The 10478-nt window shown below is 47.2% G+C and overlaps 2 annotated features.

Moving 5' to 3' along the window:
• Window positions 2530–3030: an enhancer, noted in NCBI's record as "H3K4me1 hESC enhancer chr22:27654930-27655430 (GRCh37/hg19 assembly coordinates)". NCBI's record gives its function as "activates a minimal SCP1, AML or CMV promoter by ChIP-STARR-seq in primed H9 embryonic stem cells {active_cell/tissue: H9 hESC(primed)}" and the evidence as "EXISTENCE:reporter gene assay evidence [ECO:0000049][PMID:30033119]".
• Window positions 3031–3531: an enhancer, noted in NCBI's record as "H3K4me1 hESC enhancer chr22:27655431-27655931 (GRCh37/hg19 assembly coordinates)". NCBI's record gives its function as "activates a minimal SCP1, AML or CMV promoter by ChIP-STARR-seq in primed H9 embryonic stem cells {active_cell/tissue: H9 hESC(primed)}" and the evidence as "EXISTENCE:reporter gene assay evidence [ECO:0000049][PMID:30033119]".

Consider the following 10478-nt stretch of genomic DNA (forward strand, 5'->3'; position numbering starts at 1 on the left):
TGCTGTATGACCTTGGACACATCAATTACCTCCTCTGAGCCTCCATCTCTCCACCTGTAACATGGAAATAAATGCATTGTCTACCTTGCAGGGCTGCTATGGCGAGCTCCATGTGGTGTCAGGCATGAACCAAATGATAGCAGTTGTTGTTGTTGTTGTTACAGCAGCTGCAGCCTGACTGCCTAGATTTCACTCCTGGTCTTACTACTTAACCACCTTGGTGGACTTAAGACAAGTAACCTGATGTTTCAAAGTTCACTTTCTCAATTGTGAAAGGGAGTAATATTAATTTCCACCTCATAGGATTGTTGTGAAGACTAGTTGAGATATTACATGTAAACTAGTACATAGATTAGTGGCAGACGCATAGGGAGTGCTCAGTAAATTATAGCTCTTATTAGAGTTTGAAAGTTGACTATTTGCTGGAGACTCAGCATTAACATTCTAAAATCTTAGAGCTAAAATAAGTCATGGGAGGACACTCTTCCCATTTCTCAGCTGGGAAAACTGAGGCCTAGAGTGGTTAGGTCATGGGCTGGAGGACAAAAGCAAAGGTTTCCTGGCCCCCCCAGCCTCCCCCTTTGAACCCACAGTGGGAGGTGGCTGGAGATAGGGTTGACAAATATCTCAATAGAGCTGCTGGGATCTTTCCCCACACCAGGAGCCATGGCTGTTATCTGGGAGGCAGCCACTCCTTGCTTCCATGTCATCATTGTCTTTCCCTCATCCCAGAATCCCATGAGGACTGGATGGGGATCTTGGGGGAGTACTTCCAGCCATTTTGAGGATGCCTTTGCCCTCAAATTCAAGAAACAAGTAAGGACTGAGTGCATTCCAAAAGTTAAATGCACCATTGGAAATCTGTAACAGGCCACTTGACTGTGTGCCTGACAGGGCCCTTGCCCTCCTGGAAAGGGTATTCTATTTGGGAGCTGGCAACAAACAAACCAGCATTAAGATCATGATGAAATAGAGAGAACTGAGTACCGAGCCTTTCCGATGAGGAGACCAGAGAAGGCTCTGCCATTGGCCCTTACACACACAGCCTTAGGACCCCATTCCATCCCCAAATGGATTTTTTCCCAGGGGCCCTATGGGTTCATATGCAAATTAACTCTTGGTGGCTTACCTAGATATCCAAGAATTCCCAAGGTGAGCTTGTAGACCAACTTCCTTGGAAAATGCTTCAACATTTCCTCTTCTTGCCTCTCCATGAGTTGCAACAGTGAGTTTAGGCTGATTCCAAGCTCAATACGTCTACCTTCAAATTGAGAATCCTCCACTCATCTCTGCCATGTGACTTTGGACAACTTACTTAACCTCTCTGAACCTCACTTCCTTGTCACTAATACAAGGTGGTTATGATAATAAAATCTAACTGTAAGGTTGTTGGGATAACTGGATGAGATCATATATAAAAAAGCACATAGATATGCCTCAGAAATGTTAACCGTTATTAATTCTTTTTCTTTATCCTTTCACCTCCATCTCTGTACACTCCTTTTTTCTATACCCTCCTTCTCCTGTCTTCATTCTATCCTCCCATCTTATACCTCTTTCTCTGCTACCTACTTCTTGTCCCCCTCCTCCTCCTTCTCCTCCTCCTGGTAAATATCCAGATAGATTTTATCCTACCAGGACTAAGAACACAAATGCCCTCAAACCATCTCCAAGTGGTCAAACCAAGAATATATTCTGCCCAGATGAGCAAAACCAGAAAGTTTGTCTGAGTGACGCTGCAGATCAGCCTCCTGGTGGTAGGTTCACAGAGGGCTCTTCACTCCATTTTCTGGGCACCGAGGTTGTGGCTGAATCTGCCTTCCCACGACCCACATGCGCCTCCCTATCCTCCATCAATGTGGAGGACAAAATACATCCTGGCCATACTGTAGAGATGTAGGGTGGGGCTTCCTCACAAGCCCCTGAAACAAAGGCATACTGCGTCTAACTTATTTTAGCAGTTTTCAGTAATATAATTTTCAGTTCATTTGGTTATCAGAAACACACTTTTTTTCCCTTTTCTTCTCACCAAAAAGGCAAAGCAGATCTAGGCTGTTCTGGGGGTGCTAGTGGCTTGATATTCTTTATACACATACATATATATATATATATATATATATCTCCTCACTAATTTCTCCATGCTGTGGAGAATTTGTCACACGCACAGGTCTGTTTGATTTCATTAAACAGAATATTTAAGCATAAAAATTGTTTAATCGCCTTGTGTCATTATGAGATGAATTTCATTTTGCATACATTTGCATATTTCATCAGAATTAAGGCTGCTAATATGCAAATGAGAGACAGGTTGTGGCTGAGGTGTTTATTGTAATAGCTGCAGGCTGTTCCACTTGGACAGCTTTCTAGGTGGTGGGGAAGGAGGGGGAAGGAGAACTTGGGGTGGCTCAGAACACCTCAGGAAACCCAGGAGTCTCTGGGGCTTCAGCCGTGGCAGAGCAGAGATGCGTGGGCGTGGCGCACCTTGCTGCCCTACGACACTGGCCAATCAGAGCAGGCTGGGCTGGGGAGGCAGGAGGAAGCCCAGCTGTCTGCCCCAAAGGCTCCTGGGAGCCCGTGGGTACCAGGGATGGAGTGAGGGACCTGGGCAAGGCTGGGGGCATGCTGTTTGCCGAGGTCTCTGCCTCAGCATGAGCAGATGACATTCCGGAGGCCTCCCCAGCCTTCTCCCTTCTCTCTCTGTTGCTGCTTCTTCCTCTGCCTGCTGGTTTTTTTGTTTGTTTTTTGTTTTTTGTTTTTTTCCTTACCTTTTGTTTCCTCCTTGGCTTTGTTTCAGGCCCTATTTAGTTCCTTGTTAGCCTTTCTCTCTTCCTCTTCTTTGTTTTTCCTTTGCCTGTTTCCTCCTGCGCGTTCCTCCACCCCATGGGCTGGCATGCTTGTCTATTGGCTTTCCTGCCCTCTGATGCCTGCCTGCTTTGTTCTTTTCCCCACCCTGCCTTCCTCCTGCCTCAGCTTTCAATTTCGTCCTTCCCAGAGCCCCCTTTCCTCCTGCCCATCGCTCCCCCAGCCTGGAGGGCATCTGCAGCAGCCAGCAATGGCTTGAGGTGAGGACGGAATCAGAGGTGCCCGCCACCCACCCTCACTTCCTTGCACAGCCTCCCACCCCTCCATCTAAATCCTTGATTAATCCCTGTCCTCATTTGAAGGTCAGAGATTAGATACATATCATTTTCCTCTCCAGGGCTGGAGCTGCTGGTCCCCAGGAGAGCCAGTTCCGAGTTACCCCCCAGGCACAGACGGAGGAGCAGAGAACTCGGTGTGTAATGAGCCGGCTTCGAGGTCAAGGGGGTGTTTAATACAGATGCAGATTTCAAAAGAAAGTAGTGAGGAGCTTCTTGCTCCTCTCCTGTGCAGCCCTCCCACAACAATGAGTGAGGATGCTTTGGAAAAAGGACAGTTCATGTGGAGCAAAGTGGAAAGGCAGCTTGAGTCAGGCACTGGCCTGAACAAACCAAGCCCCTCCCTTCTCTGGGCCTCAGTTTCTCGCATTTATCTCTTGCAATTCTTTGGAGACTTCAATGGTAGTTGCAGGCAGGAGGTGATAGGACAGGGTGGAATATGTTTATTGAATCAAACACTATTTATTGAACACCTACTATATGCCAGGCAGTGGGTGGGCACTGGCTACAGCCCTGAACAAGAAAGGCAGCTGATATTAACAAGATCATGTCAGATTGTGACAAATTCCCACAGTGAGCCAGTGAACTAAGACTAGATGCACCCCTTTCTACTTCTCTTTTTGGCTCTTGCTGGTGGCCATGTCTTGGGCCCATTTTCTGAGCCACACTTCCAATGGCTACAGGCCCCTCCCCTCCAGAATGCCCAAGGGCCCTGCAGAGAATCATTGTTTTTTTTCTGACTCTCTGAGCATCTCCCAAGAGCTGGTTGGGCAGCATCTGCCAGGCAAACCACCACCCTCCCCCCACCCCCCCCCCACCAGATTAGCTGTTCAGGCCTGCGTTTTAGAGCCTGAGCAATTAAAGCAGAATTAATTGGCTGGTAGGCAATCACCTTCCAATTGGAGCAGGGAGGGAGTAGGCGGGCCTGTTTTGCTGAGTCGACAAACTGAACACAATGCTCATTGACCAGGGGCAGTGGGGAGGGGGTGGCAAGGCAAGCTGGTGGGAATTAGAGGCATCCCCCTCCCCTAGCCCCGAGCCAAATGCAACAGCAAGCCATGGGGATCTGAGCATCTCTGTGGGGAATCCAGCTTCGCTGGTGCGGAACTTTCTGGAATAGAACTTTGACTTTGCAACTTCAAAACATCCAATCCAAGGTTGTTTTTCAATTTGAGTTAATTTTTAATATCTTTATTCTCTTCCCAATCACCAAAGCAATACATTTTCTATTGATTTTTAAAAATCAAATATTGAAAATATGTATGACTTTAAAAGCCTCATAAAATTATACATCTGCATATATATTAGCATTTGATAGGAGAAAAATCTGCAAGAATATACACGAAACTGTCGACAGAAGCTAGCCCTGGTGTGTGCATGGAGAGGGGAATTGAAAGAAGCTTGGCTGCACGCAATATATTTAAAGGAAAATTTAATGGGCACCAAGATATACAGTGGTGTTTGTTGTTTTTCTTGTTATTTTGGATGATGTCGGTTGGGCTTTATTTTGGTTTTTGTTTGTTTGTTTAGTATTATAAAAATCAAACATGTTCATGGTGGAAAAAAAATACAGAAATATGTAAAAGACCCCTGAACTCCAGCCTCCCATTTCCGCCCGTAAGTGGTAACCCAACTGTGAGAAGCTCCGGTAGGGAAGAGTGTGGCTCTTGGGCTGGAATTCAGGCTCTTCTGTTTGCTGGCTGTGTGACTGTCTCCAAGTCACTTGCCTACTTTGGGCCTCAGTTTCTTCATCTGTAAAATGGGGAGGAGACATAATACTTTCCTTCACCTCCTAGGAGAATTGTAGGTAGAGAACTTTGCACAATGCCTGGCACACAGTAAGTGCTTAACAAATGGCAGCCATTAATCTTAGTTACTGCCAACCCTTTCTAGCAAGGTGCCAGCACACAGGTTTTTAAAGGGATTGATTCGTGGCATCAAAACCACCTAGGATGCAAGGGCCACAAACGTCTGCCTCTGTCACTTCGTTGCACCCAAGTAGGATGCCCAAAATAAGGTAGTTTTACTCTCAGGATACCTAATTTCCCTGCAACTCAAGACACTCAGAAAGAGTTGTTGAAAAATAGTATACGGGCCGGGCATGGTGGCTCACGCCTGCAATCCCAGCACTTTGGGAGGCTGAGGCAGGATGATTGTTTGAGGCTAGGAGTTCAAGACCACGCTGGGTAACACAGTGAGACCCCCACCTCTACAAAAAATATTAGAAATTAGCCAGGCATGGTACCTGTAGTCCCAGCTACTCAGGAGGGTGACATGGGAGAATTGCTTGACCCTAAGAGATCTGGGTTACAGTGAACCACAATTGTGTCACTGCACTCCAGCTTGAATGAGAGAGCAAGATCCTATCTCTAAAAAGAAATAAAAATAATAAAATAAAATAAACTTTTTAAAGGTAGTATATATGGTCCAGAACCCAGAATAGACGACAAGTGGGAGAACAGAGGCTGAGTGACATCAAAGCTGAGATGACAAGGAGAACCTAAAGATACAAGGCCAATTCCTGGCTTTGTCTCTACCCAGCTCATGAGCTTGGGTTCACCCCTTTCCCTCTCGAGGGCCTCAGTTTCCCCCTTGGAGACATGGAACAAGGACAAATAGCTAATCAGCATGTGTTCACTGATGAAAAAATATTTTAAATTTGCATCATCTTTTTTCTTTTAATGAACTTGCATGCCCAGTAGTCAGCATGCGAGGGATTGAGTGAGGGAGAGGTAGCAGTGATGGGAATGCAAGGCAGATAAGTTTGGGTGCCAGAGTGATGAACGGGGGCCCACAAACCCGTGGACAGAGGACCATGTTGTCGGGCATCAAAGCTCCTTTCTGGAAGCCCGCAGCTGGGTCTAAGGCAAGGAAACGAGTCAGGAAGTCCTGGGCCTGGAGGTAAGTGTTTGTGTAAGAAGCAGGGGTGGGAGCCAGGAGGTGGGGGCTGCAATGATTGCACCGAGGAGGCCTCGAAACCTGAGCACATCCTGCAGGCAGTCAGACGGGGTCACCAAACCCAGACTAAATAGTCTGGTGGGCCTGGCTCAGGGCTGTCTGGAAAATGATCCTGGGATGGAAGGAGTAAGTCACGGAGGGGGCTGGGAGGAGAGCACGGTCAAAAACACAGAGGCCTGTATCAGTGGCCACTCTGAGGAGGCTGCCTCCCAAAGGAGGAGCCAAACTGTGAATGAGACAGCGGTTTGTTTGTTTGTTTGTTTGTTTGTTTCTCCATTTCAGTTTCTACTTGATGGAAGAGGGGGAGGCGGAGGGAGGCTAAAGCTCCTTCAGCCCCCTCAACCCTAGGCCCTCTGCTCACCTGTGCAAGGTTCTCAGCTACACACCTTGCTCTGTTCTTCAGGCCTGGAGCCAGGTCCTCACACTCAAAGGGGTCTCAGTACTGCTGTGTGGCCTTAGGCGGGTGCCCTACCAGTCCTCATAAGCCAAACAGGTATAATAAGCCTGTGTGTCTGTATTGATTGAGGCCAGAGTGACACTAGCACCTATGAGCCTTTGTGGAGATGGAACAAAGGTGGCCCCTCCAGACAGATGCTGCCACTGGATTCAGATTGGCAAGTTGAGTACCTGGACCAGGTGTACTTGAACAGTGAACAACATGGCAGTCCTGGGCAGGAGAGTGAAATGAATAAGGCCTACCTAGTACATCACCTAGCATCTGCTCTGCCAGTCACTGCCCTCAGTGCTCTAAACCTCACATCAACATGAGGAGATGGGTGTTTTCATATTTGAACCCAGGTCTAATCCTAAAGCCTTTCCCAGGACACCTCGTTGCCTTATTACTATGAATGCTAACATCTCTTTCTAACGCATTAGGCTTCTGTTTCAATAGCTTTGCCAAAAAGTGGCAAGAATCCAACTGTCCATCACTGGATGAATGGGAAACAAAATGTGGCCTATACATACAATGGAATATTATTCAGCCTCAGAAAGGAATGGCATTCAGATATGTGCTTCAACATGGATGAACCTTGAGGATGTAGTGCTAAACGAAATAAGCCAGGCACAAAGATAACTATTGTATGATTCCAATTATACAGTAGTTTTGCTTGAGGGGACTGAAAGGTAGGGAGAGGTCTTGAGAGGTTTCATGAAGAAGACACTTTGTAAGCTGAATCTCTCAGTATGAGTTTGCTTGTTTATAGTCCAAAGAGGAGAAAGAAAGTCAGGCATCAAGAATAGCATGTGCAAAGGCCCAGGGGCCTGAAAGTACATCGGGCATCTTCAGGAACTGAAGGAATGTTGGGCTTCAGGAACTGAAGGAATGTTGGGCTTCAGTGAGTTACCTAGAGAAGTTAAACTCATAGAGACAGAAAGTGGGGTGGTGGATACCGCAGTGGAAGAGAGGAAAGAGGAGGAAAGAGAAGCTTTAGCAGCTGATATAATCAGAATGCTCAACCTAGTCTGGGGAGGCCCTGGAAGGCTGCTCTGAGCCTCTTCAGATGATCACTTTGGATAAGCAGGCTGAAATCGGATCACGTGGAGGGGGCAGAGAACTTTCCAAGCAGAGGAGACAGCATGTGGAAGGTGGCATGGTGGACCAAGATGCGAATCCCAGAAAGAAAGTCAGTGAGTGTGGCCAGAGCCATGGAAGGGGAGCCACAGAAGGGGGTGGGGAGACGGGCTGGTGGAAAGGAAGGCAGGTGGAGGGAGGGGCATTCATCGCCCTGCAGGAGGGACTCTGTTCCACAGCCTGGGGACAGCAGGAAGTGTGGAAGGGGCTCACCAGGTGGGACGTGATTGAAGGTGTGTCTGAAAAGATCACATTTATTGCTGAGTGTGCAATGGATTCTAGGAAGCTGTAAGGCAGAAGGGAGATGTGTTAAGAGGCCACTGCAGGTATCGTGGTGAGAGATGGTGGTGTTGGCAGCAGACAGGCTGCAGAAGATGGGGTGAAGAAAATGACGACTCAACGGAGATTTAGACAGGAAGATCTCCAGAATCTGCTAACTGTGATGGAGACCCTGGGAGAAGAGCAGGCATGGGGTGGGAAGACAGGAGATGAATCTACAGTCACAAAAATGCTCTTGGCAGCCAGCAATCCCCGCCCTGTTAATTTACAGATGGGAAACTGAGCTGCTTAAAAGCAATGTCTTTCCTAAGATAGCACATTGAGGCCGTGGCCAAGCCAGGCCAAAATTGAGGTCCCATGTGAATGACTATGAGGCATCAGCTATAATCCAGCCAAGACGGAAAACTTCATTCATTCATTTATTTGTTCATTCATTCAATAAGCATTTTTTGATTGGATAAATATATCCCAGTTCCTGCCCTCCAGGAGTTTTTGGTGGGGGAGACAGACACATCCACCTGCCATGGTAACCCAGAGTGGGTAAGTCTCCCAGGGGGGCTCATCACAGCTGCAGAAAGTACAGAGAAAGAAGCACAAATTGTGCTCGAGAGGGTTGAAAGGTAGGGAGGGATCTCAAGAGACTTCATGAAGGAGATACTTTGTGAGTTGAATCTCTAGGTATGAGATTATTCATTGTCCAAAGGGGAAAAAGAAAATCAGGCATCAGGAATAGGATGTGCAAAGGGCCACAGGCATGAAAGTGCATTGGGCATATTCAGGTACTGAAGGATTGGTTGGAATGGAGTAAGTGCCATGAAGCAGGAGTGGCCTGAGGGTCCAGGTCAGATGACACACTCTGGAGGGTTGATCTCAGCTCTCAGGCAAGCCTGAGACCCACCACTTAGAGCCCCAACTTCAGCTCTGTAGGTGATGGCTTTTGCTGTTGCTGCTGTTGCTGTTGTTGTTTTGTTGTTGTCGTTAACAGGAAGCCTCCTTTTGCAGAGCAAAACACTAACATCCCCCTTAATACAAAAACACGTGATGTTTAATAGTTTTATCCACAGGCTAACTGTTAAGTAGCCTTGTTTAACCAAGAGGTAGTGTAGGGTCCTGGGTAACAATGGGACTCTGGAGCAAGGCTCCCTGGGTGCAAACCCCAACTCCATGTGATCCTGACTGACTCACCCCACTCTCTTGGTTTCCTCCTCTCTAAAATAGGATCAGTCTGGTACTGGGAAAATTAGCATATGCAAAGTGCTTAGAAGGGTACCTGCCACATAGTAGGCACTCATCAAATATGAGCCACATTTATTGATTGCATACCAACCTTATAAGAAAGATGTGATTATTATTACCATCTCCATTTTAAAGATGAGTGATCTGAGGCTTACATAGGATGAACAGGACCAAGGCTTCACAGATAGAAGTTGGAAGTCGGCAGAGGTGTCATTGGAACCCAGGTCCTGAACTCTTAATGGCTCTGCTATATGGCTTCTGATCTCAGCCTCAAGGTCAAGGCTACACACAAGTAATACCAAACCTGAGAATCCAGATTCAAGCTGGAAAATGATCTAATCACTTCCACCAAACAGAGCCTGGCATCGCCAAACACATCAGGGGAGGCCAGCTCTGTGTGTGGACCACTGCGGTTGTTCTCCTGGGCCGGGCACTGCTGTGGCAGAAACACAAGATCTGAGACAGGCAGCCATAGGTTCGAGTCCTAGCTACTGGCTAGGGGACCTTGGACAAGGCACTGATAGTCCCAAGACTCAGTTTACCCATCTGTGCAGTGATATATTTGGCTAGCTCAAGTCAAAAAAAATCTTCCGGCACTGCTGTGACCTTTTAACTAATCAGTCTGTGAAGTTAGCCCAGAAAAAGGAAAATGCTATCTCCCGGAGCCTCCTCTGATGTGCTCTATGGTCACCTAACCTGTCTGAGACTCAATATACTCATCTGATAAATAGGCAGAATAAAAATAAGAGGTGCCCTGCCTCTTTTCAGAGTCACTGTGCATGCAAAGACCGCAGCTTTGGAGGCCAGAATTCCCGATGTTGATTCCCACATCTGTTCTTCCCAGCAGATGCCTTTGGGTAAGTCTGAGCCTTAGAGCCCTCATCTGTAACTCAGGAACAGGAATTCCAATTTTGCAGGCTCATTTAAAGATGTAAAGATAACATGCACTTAGGATCTGGCACATAGTAGGCATGTGGTTAACAGTAATTAATGACAATGAAACCAACAAGAGCTAGAGTGTCTTCTTTTTTTAGACAGAGTCTCACTCTGTCGCCCAGGCTGGAGTGCAGTGGTGTGATCTCAGCTCCCTGCTACCTCCATCTCCCAGGTTTAAGTAATTCTCCTGCCTCAGCCTGCCAAGTAGTTGGGATTACAGGTGCCCACCACCGTGCCCGGCTAATTTTTGTATTTGTAGTAGAGATGGGATTTCGCCATGTTGGCCAAGCTGGTCTCAAACTCCTGACCTCATGTGACCCGCCCACCTCGACCTCCCAAAGTTCTGGGATTACAGGTGT

The sequence above is a fragment of the Homo sapiens genome, chromosome 22, assembly GCF_000001405.40.
Source record: "Homo sapiens chromosome 22, GRCh38.p14 Primary Assembly".
Taxonomy (NCBI): Eukaryota; Metazoa; Chordata; class Mammalia; order Primates; family Hominidae; genus Homo; species Homo sapiens.